Consider the following 20,885-nt stretch of genomic DNA (forward strand, 5'->3'; position numbering starts at 1 on the left):
GAGAACAACCCCCAGTGTACTTGGAATTGGAACTAAAAACCCTCATGAGCAGCATACCACAAACTCTGGCAATAGTTCCACCTCATCGCCGCTACTGATTTCAGATTAGAAAAATGTTTTAAAATTTTTAAATTTCTTTTAACTTTGCCCATCCCTTTTTCTCCCTCAAATCACTTACACTGTTTTTGTATATGCTAAGAATCACATTGAACTCCTTACATCCAAATAAATTCATTAGAATCTCTCTCAAATTAGCATCTTTTCCTAAAGCCCAATTTTAAAATTTTATTAGTATTTATTTACTTGTTTTTGGCTACTGGTGAATACCAGTACTTTTTTAGTCTCACAAGTGAGAAAATCTGGGAGTCATCTATTAATGACTAACAGGATAGTATGGAAGAAAGAATGAGTGCTTTGTAGTCAGATGAAGCAATCTCTTTTACTATGCAACCTAGCTATGTTAATTAACTCACTCTGTGCCTCAATAATCTCAGCCATAAATTGATTCTAATTCTGATTTCATAGATTTTCTGTAAGGATTAAAAAGAGAAAATACATAGAAAAAATTATAAGTACAACACTCTGGCAAACAAGAGGCATACATGCACTGAATATTTTATCAAGACTTTTGTGCCAGAAACTGCCATTCTTTTGCTTCTTATTTTATTTTTCTTTCATTCAAACTGATACTCTCCATTTATCCAAATAATTTGCTGATTTCTTCTATAGTGTATTCTCCATTTCTATTAGCCTATTTCTAATTTTTTGGAAATCCCATCGCAATTAAGGTGAATACTATATAATTCTGAACTTAATTGCTTGCTTTCTAGTAATTAGAAAGGTTTTACCTAGATGGTAACCTCTACAAGTACACTAAATCTGTAATCAATAACTATATTCTTAAAAAAACAGATGTATGGCCAGGCGCGGTGGCTCATGCCCGTAATCCCAACACTTTTTGGGAGGCCGAGGCAGACGGATCATGAGGTCAGGAGTTTGAGACCAGCCTGACCAACATGGTGAAAACCCGTCTCTACTGAAAAAATACAAAAATTAGCCGGGCGTGGTGGTGCATACCTGTAATCCCAGCTACTCGGGAGGCTGAGGCAGGAGAATCGCTTGAACCGGCGGAGGGTGCAGTGAGCCGAGATCGTGCCACTGCACTCCAGCCTGGGTGACAGAGCGAGACTCCATCTCAAACAAAACAAAACAAACAAACCAGCCAAACAAACAGACATATGAGCTTTGATAAGTCACTTTAAGTCATTGGACCTAGATTTTTGAATCTGTTAAAAAAATTCAGTATTTTCTCTAAAATCCTTTGCATCAAAAACATTTGGTGATTCTATGTTGAGTTCTTAGATCATTTTCATACAGATTAGAAATCAAAGAAAAGGAGTCCTTTTCGGTTTATTCCGTCTCTCTGAATTTCGTCAGCTTTTTGTTCATTCCATTAATAACGCACTTTACCGTATTATATTAAGCACATGTCTACCCTGCTAGGTAGCAAATCCCTTGACAATACAGTCTGTTTCAATTAATAAACTTCGTATCTGGGCTACTTAAGACAGTGTGTGGCACATGGTAGGTGTTCAATATATGTTTGCTACATTGAAATTAATTATCTTAAGTATGAGATAGGAAAGATTATAAGGCTTTATAATATATAAAGGTTATAATTATATATTATAAAGATTATAAGTGCTTTGCACTGACAACAGGTATTCTCTTTCTAAAACCCTGTCTCTCCTAACTATCCTCTCACTACTATCACTGTCCTGATGCTACTCAAAATATTAAAATATGAGGTGAAAGAATCATTACCACAACAAATGAAACCACTTCGGTCTTATATGCTAAAAATGGTGAAACAAAAGAGTCAAATTCATCAAAGTACAATCAAACCATTGAGGGCTTAAATGTCCATTTAGACTACATAAGGAAAAAAGGAAATGCTTAAATTAATTTGACAAATACAACTTTTCCCACTAATTCAATCATCTGGATAATTCTAACAATTTCAAATTGACAATAACATCATTCAAGATTTTCTCACAGCAATTCAGTTTTTTAATATTAAAAATTACAAAACTTATTTAAAGACAATAAGCAGATTATAATATCTAACTACTATACATATTTATTTCTTTCAGTAACAAACACTAGGTTTTTAATTACACAGACTTTACCTCCTCCTTACCAGGATCCTTTATTTTTAGATTGTATAAAGATGAAATAAGTACAAAACTATTCTCTCAGCCCTACCTTTCCATCAAAAAACAAATTGATTCTAACTTAGATAGATTCCTGTAGGTATCAACTAAAAAATCTACATCCATTTAAAAAAATAAAGTTTGAACCCAAGAAATTTTACAAGAGAAATATTCAAGAGATCCAAAAGGCATGATATATTCGTTCATGCTTTTGTGGCAGTTCTAATGATGTGACTCACATACATGAAGCAGGTTCATGACAAGTTAGCTGAGCATTCACATTTCAATACACCTTTGTACACCTAAATGTCATTACATCAATCTTGTTTAAGATTTGCAGATTCTGTAAATTTCAGTTAATGTCACTAAAATGATGTTATGTGCTATGGAGTTTATTTTATTGGCAGAATTTTCTTTAACAACTTTATAAATAATTTACTCTTGTGTTTATAGAAACCTTAATAGTCTGAAGGGTCAAAATGGTTTTTAGCTATACTTCACCAGATTTTATGGGGAAAATAATATGTAATTACATTTTCCCATTTGCAGATACATGAAGGTCTCAGGACAAATCTCTTGCAAATATCAAGGGTCTACTGTAATCGTTTCCAGTCTGCCCATTGAAACTTAGCAAATGGGTAACACCCTGGCCTCTCCATTCTGACTGTGGCTTGGGTTGGAAGGTTAATCACCATGAAGAGCAGAAGAGCTGAACCTTAATGTTAAGATGGGCATAAATCCTAATCCACAATGTACGCTTTTTTAAATATATACACCAATAGACTCTTTGGGTTACTATGGGCCAAGTTATGTCCATCATCGTCACACTTAACAGTGTTGGGTCCTAATTTTTCACACTGTTATGAATGCTATACTGTCAAACAGCATGGGCATTTAGGGATAGATTCATGCTGATGCCTTGTGCTGACTCCCATCACTGCCCCCTTTATCAAATCACTTTCTTATACCCTCTGCTTATCTAAAAGCAGATGAAAAGGTGTATCAATGTGGACAAGATTTGCCATTTGGGGTGTGGGTGTTGGTATGGCATATGAGTTTAATAGAATTCTGTGTGTCGATAATTAAATAGTTCCATAGGTGAAAGTTAATTAAATCCATAATTCCATATAGGAAAACAGTACTACAATTTTTTCCTTAGTACATCAGATTAAAAAAATAAAACATTGACAAGTATGAGCTCGATTCTAATATATTAAGGCTAATTTCAGAATGGGAAGCATCTCATACTGTTCCAAAATGTAAATACCACGTTGAAAAAAAATGGTTATTCTCTCAGTAAAAGAAGGATCATTAATTTCAAATCAAGGAAGAGTTTATATGATTAAACCAGTATATATTTGCTCAATTTACTATCTGGAGATTTTAAAAACAAGATTGAAACAGACTGACTATTTGAAATTTGAAAAGGGCAATGTCCACATTGTTCCCCTGGTACTGTACAATGGCAGGTCAAACTTTTGTTCCTCTTGTCCTACAAACAATTTTCAAGCCCACGCTCAATAAATAAATTTGGTCTCAGCACTCCCAATCAGTGCTGCACAATCCCCTCAGTAGCAGACCTATGATAAATGGACTTATTTTCCCAAATCAAACACTTGAATTTAAATTCAGATGAGTTAATGCAAAGGTCAACATTGTAATCAGTTCTTTTGATCTTTATAGAATTTCTGGAGTAATACATAATAAATCTGAAACAAGGCAATTTGCAGCTCTGTATGTGTGGCTGGCAATAAAAATCTTAACGATCACAGCCTTTATGTACTTAGGGAATGTTTTATCGTAATGGCTATGGTGAGGGCTTCAATGCATAGGAAACAATGGCAATAGATAACCCTGAAAGACTTGATTTCTTGATTGTTTTACAATTTATTTATATATGTATTTATAAAAAAACTTAATGATATACATCTATGCTTACTGTATGTTTGAAATAGTCACTACTTTTATCATAACCACTTAGTTTTGAGTTAATAGGTTGGACATAAAAATTGCCTATGATAAACATTTGCATATCAGGTTCAACCTGAAATTTTCCAATCTCAGAACTGCATTTCTTTAGAGAGTTTTTACACTAAAATGTTTTGGAAGGTTAGGCAATATAAAAATTAAATACTATTGTTCAATTTTATAACTGATAAAGCACAATTAATTCATTACGGCACAATCACAAAGGGGTTCTAATGGTCTTTAAACTGATATTTAAGGAAGGAAGGAAAGGAAGGAGGGAGGGAGGGAGAAAAACCAGACAGATGAACAGGAAGTAAGACCCACAGACTTGCAGCTAAGTGCCCCTTTTGCATCTGGCTGCTAGGTACTATTGGGTCCTATGGCTTCAGGCTGTTCCTGTATTTTCCCTGTCTTGGAGCCCTATGATAACAATTTATCTTAAAGTAGCAGTCCCAGTTATTCAACAAAACACTGCATGATTACGTGTGAAAGTAACATGAAGTTTTACATTGATAGCAGTAATAAACAATAGTCTTCTTGTGTTTTCAAAAATATAAAATCTTTTTTCTTTTAGTAACATAGCAGTGATTGATCCTTTCGAAACAATAAAACCATTTTTGTCAACTTTATTACACTAAAGTACACAGTGTTTGCACAATAGTGCTACTCTTTAAAGGATCAATTCTGAACCACTTTAGTGGTAAACAGGATTCAACAAGTACCTACTATTCAAGATAAGTCTTTTAATGAAATTATAAACATGAAAAAAACATCCAAATGTCTAGCAGTGAGGAACCTAGTACACATACATTTGAAGTAATAGCCCTAGGACTACGTAGCTAAAGGTGAAAAGAATAACAGCTTCCAAGGTGGCATTTAATATCTGTTCCCACAGTCTCTCTCTTCAGAACAATCGACCCTTATTTTTGGCTAAAACACTGAGGCTGAAATACGGCATTGTGCACAAATTTATTGTAATACTGTTTTCTGGAGACTCAATGAGAGTACATAAGAGCCAGATGTATCCTGTGTACTTGTGTGACAACCGTAACTCCAGTTGTATCCAAACATTTCACTGAATTTGGCCAAACAGCCAGGAATTTTAGAAACTTCTGGGACAAATATATTCATCTATAGCTTCTGTATTAAGTTCTTTCATCGGTAGGCAAGTTTGGTTAAGGTCCGTGAGCTCCTTTTGACAGAGTACTACACTGATACAGCTTCTATCATCCTAAGTTTGCTCTCTAAAGCTAAAGAAAAGCAAAATCATTACTCATACTGAAAATTCTGTCAATTTCTTCAAATTGTGACTTTATTTCTCTAATAAAGCCTTCATAAATCTGATATCATTGAATGCAACACAATTCGGCAGTAGAAATGACTGGGCACAAGGTAATAACTGCTCTATTCAGATGTCTGACATGAGTCTAAATTTCTATACTTCCTAAGAAAAATCAGCAATGTTTTTGTTTTCTCCCCCTGCAGTTTCATATTTAGGGTATACAGATGTCCTGTCACAGCAGTTAAAAAGTACAGTCTTGTGAGTCACTAGGGGTCTGACAAGTAGAGTCTCAAAGCCCGATAATTACAAAAAGTCCTTGATTTGAAAAGAGCTCATTTCATTTTTTTTTCCAGCAATTTCTACATTGTTGCCTGCATTAACAAAAGAATAAAAATCATAAAAATTAAGCTTCTATATTCTGTTCAGCCACATAAGTATCCTAAAAATTAGCAATAGTTAAATGCATACATATAGTAAAATTCAATTATTTTCTTAATCCATGTGAATACTTATTTATCATCTACTATGTGTAAGACAATGGGTTGGGTAATTCACTACCTCACATAATAATCTGATAGGCAAGTTAACAACACAAGCCTTTTAGATAAATGACAAAGTGGAAGCTGAGAACACCCAAATTTAGTTGGAATAAAATGTTCAAGCCTCTTTCACAAGCTACATTTTAGGTATTCCATCTGGGAAGATTGAAGTAGAGTTTTTTTTATAGAAAGACCAAACATCCCAGTTGTCTTATTAGCATGTCCTTTGGTCCAACTAAGTCACTCATGCTCATAAATGATGTAAGAACTTGCTTTTTGGTAAAAAAATTTTAAGGAGGGCTATATACCCTGAAGTCAAAAGGGTCGAGATTATACAATTTAAGCTTTGTTTCTTGAGGAATCCTGCTGGGTTTAGGCTGTGATGAACATCTGCTGGTTGGCTGACAGTGTCTATTCCTTCTACTAATAATAACATACTGATTGTAAGTGACAGTGTCTATTCCTTCTAATAACAACATCCTGATTTTTTCCACAGGAAAATATCCTTCTCCCATCCTTACGGTAGGAGACGCAGTGACACAGTCTCCGATTCCCTGGCCCAGGCCTGGCCATTCACAGCACCCCATGCTATGCCCATTATAGTTGGCTCAGGGATGTGGATATTCCCTAGTGAAAGTCATCAAGAATCAATTCTAGAACAGTTCTGAAACTACTGGAAAGAAAAAAATTCCTCTTTTTGGGGTGGGGGAAGGATTCCAGAGATAAGATATAAGTTTCAAGCGCTGGGAGCCCTCCGTCTCTGGAAGCGGGAGAGCCTGGCCAAGAATGGCTCAATCCCGAGGAAAACAGCCAACAGATGGAAGGCGCCAGATTTAGGACCAAAGCCATCCTTTAAGCCTGTGGATTCAACATTTTAGTTCTCTAAGCCAATAAACATCTATTTCCTTTTAAAAATGTCTCAGCATAATAAGACTGGCTGAGTTGGGTTTCTCTTACTTAAAACCCAAAACGTCTTAAGAATTAATACTAAAGTCCTAAACTGAAACCTTTGCCTAGGGTTTAATATCCTCCAGAGTTGACAAGATATTTTCTTCCACAGGCTTTTCCACTTTTCCTTAATCTGGAAGTTTTTCACCTACTTTGTCACTGACATCATAAGGCAGAATAGTGTAGGGACATTAAAGAAAGGCAGTCAGCTGCAGCTCACTAAAGAGAGTAATCTATCCCTGAGCTTAAGATGCTGGTGCAGGTGGCATCTGGGGACAAGAAAGGGAACTAAAACTGCTAAACACCTGCCATGAGCCAGGCACAGTTCTGCCTGTTTTACCTACATCAGTCCACTTAGCCTTATTTCATATCTGCATAACACTGTGAAGAAGAGACAGATGCCTTAGGGACTAAGAAATTGCTAGTCAGAGAATATAGTGGATCAACATTTAGTACAGAGTAGTGGCTATATGTGTTGGCTCCAGAGTCAGTTTTAGATTTATGTCTCAGAGGCTACATCATTGAAAAGCATGATGATGCGAACGTTTTTTTTTTTTTTTTTTGAGACAGAGTCTCGCTCTGTCGCCCAGGCTGGAGTGCAGTGGCGCAATCTCGGCTCACTGCAAGCTCCGCCTCCCAGGTTCACGCCATTCTCCTGCCTCAGCCTCCCGAGTAGCTGGGACTACAGGCGCCCACCACCTCGCCCAGCTAATTTTTTGTATTTTTAGTAGAGACGGGGTTTCAACGTGTTAGCCAGGATGGTCTCGATCTCCTGACCTCGTGATCTGCCCGTCTCGGCCTCCCAAAGTGTTGGGATTACAGGCGTGAGCCACCACACCTGGCCAGGAATGTTTTAAATCTGCTCCATGCCTCAGTTTCCCAACATGATTAAAAGTCATCTTTGTCTGACTTATAGGGATAGTGTGAGAATAATTAAGATGTTACTCATCAAATATTTTAAAACAATACTTGGCATATTGTAAGCTGCTAATAGCAAAGCCTGAAATTAAGTCATGATAAACACCTAAATGTTCTGAGAAAGAGTGTATTAAATGAACTGATAAGAGGAAATGACCAGTCCAGCCCACAGTTTCATGGGACAAGAACAGAACAAACAAAGAAGGGCAGGAAAAGCCATAGTTATAACCAAAGATGAGAAACCAAGAAGAGAATCCTTCAAGAGGATTCTTTCTCAGGCTCGCTTGGCTAACAGTTGTATTGCTTCTGTAATGTGAATGGACTAGAAGTTAATATCAAGATGTTAATTTATCTTATTTGTAGTGTGTGTATATAGTTATACTTGAGTTACTACCTTTATAAAGTCTTAAAAAAGTTTACTCCAGATATTCTTATATTGAACATCTGAACTGAGATATGAAACTGCAATAACCTGGGCACAGTGGCTCATGTCTGTAATCCCAGCACTTTGGGAGGCTGAAGCAGGCGGATCACTCGAGGTCAAGAGTTCGAAACAAGCCTGGCCAACATGGCAAAACCTGTCTTTACTAAAAATGCAAAAATTAGCCGGATGTGGTGGTACAAGCCTCTAATCCCAGCTGTTGGGGAGGCTGAGGCAGCAGTCACCTGAACCCAGGAAGGCGGAGGTTGCAGTGAGCCAAGATCGCACCACTGCACTCCAGCCTGAGCAACAGAACTAGACTCTGTTCCAAAAACAAACAAACAAACCAAATTATGTGATTCTCCTGCGTCCACTATCCTTTCCAACCCAGAGGCCAACATTCTTTTAAAAAAAAAGTTTAATTCCCTTTGTCAGCTCTTCTCTCCACACACCAGCCTAAGTAAACCCTAATCAGAAGCAAACCAAGATTTCTCCACACACTAAATTATCTGCCTTCCATACCCAGGCTGCTAACTGCTATTGGAAATAAAAAGCCACACAACTGAGATGAACTCTATCAATGTATGTGCAAGTGGGCAATCCCAACAGTCTCTAGTGATCTCGCTCTTCGGTTCTTCACATAAGGCATTTAGAACGTTCTCAAGTCCATTCAAACCTTTTCATCACCTCCCTGCCATCCCCCACCTTAGCAAACAAATTTGCCTTCTATCTTACAAATAAAATATAAATGAATACTTTTTCATTTCCTGCCCTGAAACTGTAAACTTAACTCCAATATACCTGCCCTTTATGTTCCTTCTAGTAAAATGAAAGAAATGTCTTTCCTCCCATCTAAGGCTAAGCTCTCCATCTGTATATTCTGGCTCCTGCTGTCTTTCACTTAATTAGGAACCTCATTCAATCCATCAGCCCCTCTCCTTCTTGTTTTTCTCAACATCTCCCTGTCTACTGGAGCCTTCTCAATTGGCAGACAGGTTTTAGGTCCTCCTTTATTAAAACCAACCAAAACTCTGAACAGTGCCATTTCCTTTCTCTCTCTTTCCCTTGAAAGCCCAACTTCCTGGAAGAACGGTCAATATATGCTTGTCCCCACTTTCTCACAGGCGGCTACAATATAAAACCTGGCTGAGGTAGCCCAGAAATCAGAGATTCCAGGTGACCCTTCAATTCGGAAATGTGAGTGGAGAGCGACAGTGAAGCACTGTTTATTCACAGCAGGAGTTCCGTCAATGGACAAGCACTACCAAGACCATATCTCAGACTCTGGGAAGATGACTGGCTGGTAAGATCTTAGAGTGAGGTCTTGGCCTCTTTTGTGCTAATCCTCATCATAGAGGGTATTTGGGCAGCACCTAGAGTCTGCGGGCATAAAGGTGCATACTTATTACTTTTCTCCCACAGAAAGGGAAAATAAAAGGAAAGGATTTTCTTAAGAAATTCTCATCTTTCCAATCAAAATTGATCTGTCCTTCATTGAATGTCTAAACACTTTAACAGTAATTTGATTTAATAGCTACTTGTCTACAGACCTTTCTCTTGATTATAGGCTTCTTGGCAGTAGACTATGTAATTGTTTTTCTGTGTTGTCCATGGCTCCAAGCACAAGTGGTCAAAAGAACAAGCCAGGGAATCGTGAGGTCAAACTGGGATGATGAGAGGCCCTGATGTATAGAAAACTAAAATGAGGTAAAATACATAAAGGGTTTTATAAACTACAAAGCGTCAAATAAAGATGAAATGATTTTACATACAGCTAGATCATAACATGTATTTGCTGAGAAAATGGATAACTGTTAAACAGACATTTGTAATGTTATAAAGCCAACAAGGCCATTTCAATAATTTTCTCTGGGTAAAGTGTTAGACAATGGGTAGGATGAACTGTGGGTTTGAATATCTGCCAACTACTATGTTCTTACCTGTGAAATGAAGATTCTCTTACTAGTTTTTATATCACAAAGTTTTAATTTTTTTTAATAAAATACCTAGGAATATAGCTAACTAGGGAGGTGAAAGATCTCTACAAGGAGAACTACAAACCACTGCTCAAAGAAATAAGAGATGGCACAAGCAAATAGAAAAACATCCCATGCTCATGGGTAGGAAGAATCAATATCATTAAAATGGACATAATGCCCAAGCAATTTATAGATTAAATGCTATTCCTATTAAACTACCATTGAGATTCTTCACAGAACTAGAAAAAAACTATTGTTTAGGCAATCCTGAGCAAAAAGAACAAAGCTGGAGACATCACACTACCCAACTTCAAAGTATACTACAGGGCTACCATAACCAAAACAGCATGGTACTGGTACAAAAACAGACACATAGGCCAATGGAATATAACACAGAGCCCAGAAATAAGGCTGCACACCTGCAACAATCTGATCTATGACAAACCAGACAGAAACAAGCAATGGTAAAAGGATTCCCTTCAATAAATGGTGCTGGGATAACTGGCTAGCCATATGTGGAAGATAAAACTGGACCCCTTCCTTACAGCATATACAAAAATTGTGATGGATTAAAGATTTAAATGTAAAACCCAAAACATAAAAACTCTGGAAGACAACCTAAGCAATACTATTCAGGACATAGCCATGGGCAGACTTCATGATGAAGATGCCAAAAGCAATGGCAACCAAAGAAAAAGTTGACAAATGGGATCTAACTAAAGAGCTTCTGTACAGACAAAGAAACTATCAACAGAGTAGACAACCTACAGAATGTGACAAAATTTTTGTAAACTTTGCATCTCACAAAGGTGTAACACCCAGCATCTGTAAGGAACTTAAACAAATTTACAAGAAAAAAACCCAAACAACCCCATTAAGAAGTGGGTAAAGGACATGAACAGACACTTTTCAAAAGACATACATGCAGCCAACAATGATATGAAAAAAAAAGCTCAACATCACTGATCATTGGAGAAATGCAAATGAAAACCACAATGAGATACTATCTCACACCAGTCAGAACAGCTATAAGAAGTCAAGCCAGGCGTGGTGGCTCACACCTGTAATTCCAGCACTTAGGGAGGCCGAGGCAGGCAGATCACGAGGTCAGGAGTTCAAGACCACCCTGGCCAACATAGTGAAACCCTGTCTCTACCAAAAATACAAAAAATTAGCCAGGTGTGGTGGTGGGCACCTGTAATCCCAGCTACTTGGGAAGCTGAGGCAGGAGAATTGTTTGAACCTGGGAGGCAGAGGTTGCAGTGAGCAGAGATCGCGCCACTGCACTCCAGCCTGGGTGACAGCGCAAAAAAAAAAAGTCAAAAAATAACAGACGCCGGCAAGGTTGTAAAGAAAAAGGAACACTTGTACACTGCTGGCGGGAGTGTAAATTAGTTCAACCATTGTGCGAGATAGTGTGGCAATTCCTCAAAGACTTAAAGACAGAAATACCATTCGATCCAGCAATCTCATTACTGCATATATACCCAAAGGAATATAAGTCATTCTATTATAAAGACACATGCATGCGTATGTTCACTGCAGCACTATTCACAATAGCAAAGACATGGAATAAACTTAAATGCCAATCAATAAACCGGATTTAAGAATGTGGCACACAGACACCATGGAATACTATGCACCCATAAAAAAGAATTAGATCATGTCCTTTACAGGGACATTGGTGGAGCTGGAGGTCATTGTCCTTAGCAAACTAACTGATACGGTTTGGCTCTGTGTCCCCACCCAAATCTCATCTCGAATTGTAATTACCATGTGTCAGAGGAGGTCTGGCGGCGGGTGATTGAATCATGGGGGTGAACTTCCCTTTGCTGTTGGGGAAGTGATAGTGAGTTCTCAAGAGATCTGGTTGTCTGAAAGTGTGTGGTACTTCCCCCTTAGTTCTCCTGTCTCTCTCCTGCTCCTCCATGGTAAAACGTGCTTGCCTTCCTTTTGCCTTCTGCCATGATAGTTAAGTTTCCTGAGGCTTCCCAGTCATGTTTCCTGTTAAGCCTGTGGAGCTGTGAGTCAATTAAACCTCTTTTCTTCATAATTTACCTAGTCTCATGTAGTTCTTTATACCAGTGTGAAAACGGACTAATACGCTAATATAGGAACAGAAAACCAAATACTTCATGTTCTCACTTATAAGTGGGAGCTAAATGATGAGAACACATGGACACACAGAGAGGAAAAACAGACACTGGGGCCTATTGGAGGTTGTGGTGGGGGAAGGGAGAGATATCAGTAAAAAAACCAATGGGTACTAGATGTAATACCTGGATGATGAAATAATCTATACGACAATATTCATGACACAAGTTTACCTATGTAACAAACCTGCACAGGTATGCAGTTACCCCTGAAAATGAAAGTAATCTTTTTGATTACATGTGCTACAAATACTAAGACACCTGCTTCTCTCAATCTTCGCAAAATCAGAAATCTCAGTCGTGAAAAGAATACTTTGAATATTTTACAGGCTTTTTATAATGAATTCAATAGTTTATTCAGTTCACACAATTTTTATAAAACTTTCTTTTGTCCAAAACTGGGTGATATGGTTTGGCTGTGTCCCCACCCAAATCTCATCTTGTAGTTCCCATAATCCCCATGTGTCATGGGAGGAACCCAGTGGGAGGTAACTGAATCATGGGGGCAGTTTCCTCCATACTGTTCTCATGAAAGTGAGTGAGTTCTCATGAGATCTGATGGTTTTATAAGCATCTGGCATTTCCCCTGCTGGCACTCATTCTCTCCCCTGCTGCCCTGTAAAGAGGTGCCTTCCGCCATGATTGTAAGTTTCCTGAGGCCTCCCCAGCAATGTGGAACTGTGAGTCAATAAAACCTCTTTTCTTATAGTATACCCAGTCTCGGGTATTTCTTCACAGCTGCATGAAAACAGACTAATACATGGGGAGATATCACAGTTTGATGGTGGTGCTCTATTCTCTTTAAAAATAAAAATCACCTGAGAAGTGGTAGTTGCCAGGTGCAAACAAATGTCTGTATACTGTTGCTTGTTCTTTTCCTCCTTCTATACAGCTTTGTCTAGCAGTATCTAAACACATTCTTTTCAAAATAGTTAAGTTTTGGCAGCTCTCATTTAAGGCCACAGCCTCTCAGTTCAATTACAAAACCATTTACTGAGAACATATTATGGGTTAGACATCATGGGAGATATATTTTAATTAATCTCAATTAATGACCATAGAATTCATAACTTAGATCAATATGAGATTTTTTAAGTTAATTATAAACTTATATTTCTCAGGATATAGACTTCTCCCTCATGTTCCATATATCTGTTATGTCAGGATTGTCTGTTGTAGCTAATATTTGGGAAATGAAGATGGCAAATACTGCTTTGCAATGAAAATGCTCCAGAAACATTTAAGATATTCCTGCTACTGTGTATAGAAAGATTAGTATCCCATGAGAAAAGTTTATTTGATGTAGTATCTTCTTACCTCTCCATCTTTGCCCTTATGACACAAACAAATGGCCCATTTTATCTGAATTACATCTCACAGAAGACCATTCAAAAGTAATGAAATACTTAGAGACTCTTGTCATTCATTCATTCACTCATTCAACAAGCATTTGCTGATAACTCATATTCCTTGGTAAGATATATCTACTAAGAACCATGTATGAGAAAAAACGAAGAATTGACCAATTTAGTTAAATGAATGAAAGACTATCAAAACATAGAAAGACTTCCTAATCAGCAAATCAATCCATAAACTAACAGGTCTTATGCAAAGTCATAGGAATTAGAAAAAAAGAAAAGCCTAAGACTAAAAATTTTCAGTGAATTTAGGTTCACATTTAGATTTGCTCTTAGTTGGGTGCAAACACCATACTTGGATGACAATTGCTTTAAATTATATACAAACAAAATCATACTTCATTTCCTTCTCATTAGTTCTTTAACGGGAGAACTCTGTAAGGAATAACTGTCTATTCACCATTTTTAGTTTCCTATTTTCCTAAATACCAATATCTACACTTCCTAAATACTATATATTTTTCTATTTTATCCCACAGAATATAAGACTTTGAGGCAGCATGATTTAGTGATGAGACTCTGGGTTCTATAGCAGAAAGACAAGGGTTCACCACTTGTTAGCTGTGACACATGGTAGGTTTCTGTAAGCTCAGGTTCCTCTATGATTAATAATATCTAATTTTTATAGGGCATGATGAGGATAAAGTATGTACATTCTTAACCAAAGACCTACCACATAGTAAGTGCCCAATAAAAGATCATTATTATTCATTTATTCGCCAAATGCTTACAGAAACCTACCTGCTCAGTGCTGAGTACTGATTTGAACTTAAGGACCTTAAGGTAAACAAAATAGACATTCATTACCCTCAAAGTTGATTCTCATGAAGGGATACCAACAATAAACATATGAAAAAAAATCTAGGAATAGTGTTAAATACAAACGGAAATTATGCTATCATCATTAATTAAAATTATTTTTAGTGAATGACACTCGTCTATAAGTGAAAGTCAAATTTTCTTGTTACCTAGTTGGTTTAAAAAAAAGACATAGCTAATATCTATTGACAAAATAAAAAATGTTTAATAACTTGCTTCAATAACAGAAACCCATAAAGTAAAATTTGTTTCCAAAAATGAAATAGCTTACTCTGTACTTATCACAATTTTAAACACATGATTTTAAAATCATTTTTAACTTCCATTAGTCTGCTTTACATAATTTTAATGAACAAATATTTTCTCTATAAGCAATAAAATATCTGTGATATTATACTACATTTTTGTAATTATATACTATTATAATATAATTATTTAAATACATGTAGGGAAGCAAGTAAGGCATGCAATAATTAAGATAAGTAATTACATGATTAGTAAGTCTAATTACATAGCATATAATCAGAGACTTTATGAAGAATTTTTGCTTACATGGACAGATGATTTTTCATATGCTTATGCACTATAAATCTGTTAAAAATTCATAATTTGAAATAATATTTTAATCAAAATCATTCAAGAAGCTTTAAATTCTTAAGAAAATATAACAAGAATTCTTCAGAAATCATGAAAAAAAAAAACAGAGAGAAACCTAGACCAGTCAGGAGTGCAAATCTGGTTATGTCAGAAACAGAAAAAGATGTATGGTCAGTAAACAAAGTCTTTGCTCTTTGTAGGCCTGCACCGGCATTCTATTTGATGCAAATGTTACTAAACACACAGGCAAGGTATCATCAATTCGTTCAATTCATTCTCATTGTCATTTAAGAAAGGGTCTCTGGAGATCAGTGTTCCTAAAAGGCATCAGTATCAATTGGGAACTTGCTAGAAATGCAAATTCTCAAACCCTAACAAAGACCTACAGAATCAGAAACTGGAAGTGGACTCAGCAACTCCTAATTTAACAAGCCTTCCAGCTGATTCTTACACATAGTACAGTTGAATACCACCCACCGCTCTAGGTTAATATTCAAAGAACCAAGACTGCTAGTCTTCTCTAATAATATTTTAACCTTGAAAACAGTGCCAAAAAAGTCTCCTTTGCCAGCCACATTAGCAATTTCAACCATGAACTGAGAAATACGAACACAGATCTCACTCACTGTTGTGTTTGTTGTATCTGAATATTTTTTTAAAACTTTGTGCCATGTTAGGCAGAAATCATGTTAAGCAATTTATATCCATTAACACAATAAAATGCTGCAACAGAAGTACTTATCGTTAACCCAGTTTTCAAGGGAGGAAACCAGAGTTTAGAGGGGTTATGGAACTTGTATAAGGAAGGTCAAATGGCATGATTGCCGATGACAAAATAACTACATATCATGTAACATCACCCATTTTCATTTAAATTATTTAGTTTTCAGTTATCATAGCCTTGGATGCCACAGAAAATATTCTTTAACATTACAGGCTAAGAACTTTATTAAGAAAATAAGATAATTTTTTAAATTCTTAATCAACCTATTTTTAGATGGGTAAATTTGCAATTACCTATCAGTTACTAACATAACTTCAAGTAGTATATCTAGTTGTGAAATACGGGGAAAAAATACTGACTGCCTTACCAACAAACCAACCTGATGTATATGAATAAAACCTTGTAAACTTCTCCTATGTATATGAATAAAACCTCTCTGATGTATATGAATAAAAACCTTGTAAAACCTCTCTTAACAGTTACTGAAGCAACCTCAACTAAAGTTCAGCCTTTACATATAAGAAGGCACTTCAAATATATTCATATTCATCAGAACTTAAACATACTCATATGGCATATCCACATACACACATATACTATTCAGAATGTACTCATATAATTTAATTTAATAAGTTACCTAGTTAAAGGGGTATGTGGCCTAATACAAATTCAATACTGGTTTACCTGTTCCAGAAGCAGTAAAGGTAGTAGTAAAAGTAGCCACAGGAGGGCAAAGGGAGAAGAGTCTATGTTCAACAGAGAATTTCAGCTGGACAGTGATGAAAAGTCCATATGTTACTGTGCCACCATAAATTATGTTGGAACGAATGGTCAGGCCCCAAAGGGGTTCCAAAAATAGGTTGAAACTGCTCACACTCTGAAAACAAATTGCCTAAATTCCAATATGAAAAAACAGTGTTCTTGTCATATATTTTCATGTGGCCACTACTGGGTGAAGCTAGGTCTACAGAGATGAAATACAATATGCTTTGGTTTTGAAATTGGAAGTTGTTATTCCATCAAGACACTGAAATGCAAAAAAATCTGCATGAGTCTAGTGCCTCAAGGCTTAAAGATTCATTATGAAGGAAAGACAAAATGAATGATGGCATGTCAGTTGGCCTGAACCCTGGAAGTGAACCTGCATTTTGGAGAGATGAAAACCTCAGAAGTCTTACCTTTTAATCATCTCAGGAGTGTGAATTTGAATTATATAATTATTGGTTTATCTAAATTACATATTTAAGTGATAATAATGGGAAAATCATTAATCAAAAGCAAAAGTACTCAGAGTTTCATTATTATTAACAAGTTCATTTTTCTTAAGGGGAAACACCAAATCTAGAATGTTAAAAAATAGTTATACGATCATTTCCCTTAAAAGACAGAAAATCAACAGAAAAAAAGTAATAAAAAAACTAAGGGGTTGCTTAGTTTATAATCTCTATTCAAGATGTCTGTGGTTAATCACCAGGAAAATCAGCTACCTATCAGTAGCTAAATTTGCAATATTTCATTTTAAGAACCTCATAATCACAAAATACGTAATTATAGGGGCTTCATAAATGAATACTCAACAGACTCTATTCTGCACTTTAAAAAATTTGGTATACATCTAAGGGAGAACAATAAATCCAATCATCACATTTTATTGATTAATTTCATCACAGGACTAAAATGTTGAAGGATCATGTGAATATGGCTTTAAGTCAAACAATGTTCAATTTTGACAGAACTGTCACAGGTATATCATTATTGTAATTGTAAGAATATGTATACTAGATATATTAACAATAGCAAAGTATTTAGGGAACATTAAGTAATATTTTAAGAAAAAATTAAAGTTCCAACACAATTTTTTGTATAGTCTACATTATTGTTTTGAAAATTAAAAGTGGTAAGTTGTATAAAGGAACAATAAATGCATTCTTATTCAACACAAAAGCCTCACATGATTCAAGGTTTCGATTGTGAGTCAAGTTGCATTAAAATTATTTTCTCATTTGAGAAATCATTTGTCAACAATGGAAAATATCATTAGCTCAGTTTTGTGAAATACAATGGCATTTTTACATAACTGAAAAGTAACCAAAAGCTTCCAAACAGGGTAGAAATGTTACATTGAACAACCAAGAGAGAACCAAACAGTGTAAAGCCATATGGTCCCACAGCATGAAGTGATCAGATACCTGCCTAAAATGATGGACAGCTCTGGCCTAGTGAACAAGCAAAAAAAATCCCATTTACTTTCGTCCAGATGGGACCAACTGGACGCTTCAGCGCAAACAACTCATCCTTCTTCGGACCTTCTTGTCCAGCTCTTGAGCTAGCTCCAGCTGATAATGATGAATACCAAGGCTACAGTAAAGTGGGTGACAACAGAAGCCTTGTTATAGCTGCCAGTCTTTCGCTCTTGTCATTATTACACATTGAAGATTTATTTGAGTTTATTGTTGTGCACAGGGTCTAGCCATTTGCAATTCATCACCTACTACAGAAAGTTCAAGATAGTGGCCAAAGCTATAATTGCCACCTCCACCTGCTTCTGGAAATTATGAGGTCACTAGCTAGGGCAACCTCATCCTCACTGAGCTCTGAAAGTCACAGCAGCATGTAGTATGAAATAGGCCCTATCTGTACTTGAGCATCTCTTGAGATCACATTAATAACACTACATTGCCTGGCAATTGATTAACTTGTATCTATAGTACGACAAACACTAAGAGGTGACAGTCACAGGAAAGAAATAATGAAACTATTAAAACTGCCACAATTTGAACATTATTGTTATTATCACAAATGCTGTAGTTACTATGTGTTGATTCAGGAATATATATACCCATTGATAAGGCACATTCTTTTATTTAATCTGACATAATCTAATCTTCCAGAAGTCAAACTAGTCTAACTGTAAATCTGTTTTGGAAGTAGGTGGAATGTAAATCCTATACAAATTATAGTAATATTTTAAAAAACAAGTACTTTGATACTTCTTATATGTTACTACACTGGAGTGTTAGATGAGTTTGACTTAGGGAAAAAAGTGAATAATAAAAAACCCCATTCTTTATTTTCAAATTGTCTTTTCTCCCATATTTATCCATTTTATTTTTATAAAGGTACAAACTTTTCCCTGCAAAATAGTTGGAAAATTTTTTGAGAGCTTTTGCCTGTACTATTGAGCACTCAAGCTTTTACAGACAGTGCTACAAAGAGTAGGAACTTTAAAGATTTCCATTCTTCTAAAATACATGAATCACTCATCAGTTTGCTCAGTGTACAGATGGCTTGAAAATTTATGACACCTGAATCTTTCCCTTCTTGGAATTATGCCATTACTTTGTTGCCACATTCTCACTGTTAATGGATTTCTAAAACCAAGATTTACTGAGATAGGTATTTTTTGTTCCAGGTCCTCTTTTTAAAAACCAACGTGAAAAGTAATGCAGCAAAAGGTAAGCTAGCATCATAATTTAATACAAAACCCCAACTATTTAGAAAGACTGTCTATATCTTATTTTATTCCTCAGAGTCTAATGATGTTCAATAATTTCATTTTATAAGGTTATAGAGGAATCAAAATTCTAAGTGGGAAGTTTCTGTCTGCAAATTCTTTTACAAGTGGTTTCATATACACACTATTGTAGCTTTCTGCCACATTGGCTAAAATGTCAGCTTGAGCAGGACAATTTGCTCCTGCTTGTACGTTAGGGTATGAAGGTTTAGAAGTTCTGATGTAATTTTACTATTATAGGTTTGGCCTCATTTTGAATCTCACTTTTACTTACTCTCGGGAGCACTGTAAGGTAAAGAAAGAAAAATGTCCATGATACTTATTAATCAAATTGTTTCTCAAAAAACATGACAATGACATAACTAACATAAAGCAACATCTCAACCAAGTATTCCAGGTTATCACTTGGTGGAAAGCTGCAGAGAATTAGACACTGGAAGCCTTTCCAACTTTTCCTCCTCTGCTGATCAGCTCCATAAGAAAGTAGCATACATTTCTAACACCTACACTACACTTCTCCTTAAAGTTTATGAACATCTGCACTTCACCTTAAAGTTTATGAACTTCTTTCATGTACCTATATCATACAATCTTATGAGGTACGGATTAATACTACACAAATTTTACGGAGGGAGAGACTAAGGCTGAGACATACAGGTCATACTCCAAATTCTTTACTTTGTACTATACAACAGGCAGAACAAAATAGTCAACTTATAAATCATTTGAACTGCTCTCTCTTTCTTAATACTGAAAAGAGGTTTGAGATATGTAATGAATGGAATTACATCTTTATAATTTATCCAAGAAAGAAATTTTCTTTTTCTTTAAAACATGAATCTAAACCATTAATGGGATAGAATAAAAAATACATAAGAAAATCCTAACATCTATTGCTTTGATCCTTTTTAAACTCTGAAATATAGCTTGTACAGTTAAGTCTGTACAAAAACCACACGAATAGTTTAAGGAGCAGTAACCCAACCCAGGAACTAGAATGTTAACATACTCCAAGTGTCCCCATTCACCATGCCACATTTATATCTTCCCCCTTCTCTTCGGGGGGCAACCACTACTGTGAATTCTGATTTAATCATTCTCTTTCTATTCATTAGTTGTTACCACTGGTGTATGTATCCCTAAATAACATTGTTCCATTTTGCCAATCTTTAAACTTTTTATAAATAGAAACAAACTGTATGCATTATTCTGCACTTGCTCATTTCTTCCAATATTGTACTTTGAGATTTATTAACATTGGTGCATCTAGCTGTAGATCATTTTTACTATTAATATAGTATTCCACTGAATGAATATACCACAATTTATCCATTTTCCTGCCAAGAGACATTTATGATTTTTTCATCCAGTTTTATACTATTACAAAGATTG

The 20,885-nt window shown here is 35.9% G+C and overlaps 1 protein-coding gene across 9 annotated transcripts in view, besides 2 other annotated features; it reads right to left on the reverse strand.

The window, feature by feature from the left end:
• The window catches only part of GPATCH2 (G-patch domain containing 2), a 204,099-nt gene that overhangs the window by 108,783 nt on the left and 74,431 nt on the right, over window positions 1–20,885 (reverse strand). The window contains exon 6 of one of the 9 annotated variants that reach the window (XM_011509694.4): window positions 9,850–9,971. The exons of the other annotated variants lie outside the window; for them this stretch is intronic. Within the exon in view, the coding sequence (XP_011507996.1) occupies window positions 9,873–9,971 (99 nt within the window). The 3' untranslated portion in view covers window positions 9,850–9,872. Of the gene's footprint in view, window positions 1–9,849; window positions 9,972–20,885 lie in introns of those variants that run through there. 9 annotated transcript variants of the gene reach the window in all.
• Window positions 7,140–7,249: a silencer, noted in NCBI's record as "silent region_1818". NCBI's record gives its function as "represses an Ori minimal core promoter by ATAC-STARR-seq in GM12878 lymphoblastoid cells {active_cell/tissue: GM12878}" and the evidence as "EXISTENCE:reporter gene assay evidence [ECO:0000049][PMID:35858748]".
• Window positions 19,073–19,367: a silencer, noted in NCBI's record as "tiled region #7160; HepG2 Repressive non-DNase unmatched - State 24:Quies". NCBI's record gives its function as "represses a minimal TATA promoter and a strong SV40 promoter by Sharpr-MPRA in HepG2 cells {active_cell/tissue: HepG2}" and the evidence as "EXISTENCE:reporter gene assay evidence [ECO:0000049][PMID:27701403]".

The sequence above is a fragment of the Homo sapiens genome, chromosome 1, assembly GCF_000001405.40.
Source record: "Homo sapiens chromosome 1, GRCh38.p14 Primary Assembly".
In the NCBI taxonomy this organism is placed as follows: Eukaryota; Metazoa; Chordata; class Mammalia; order Primates; family Hominidae; genus Homo; species Homo sapiens.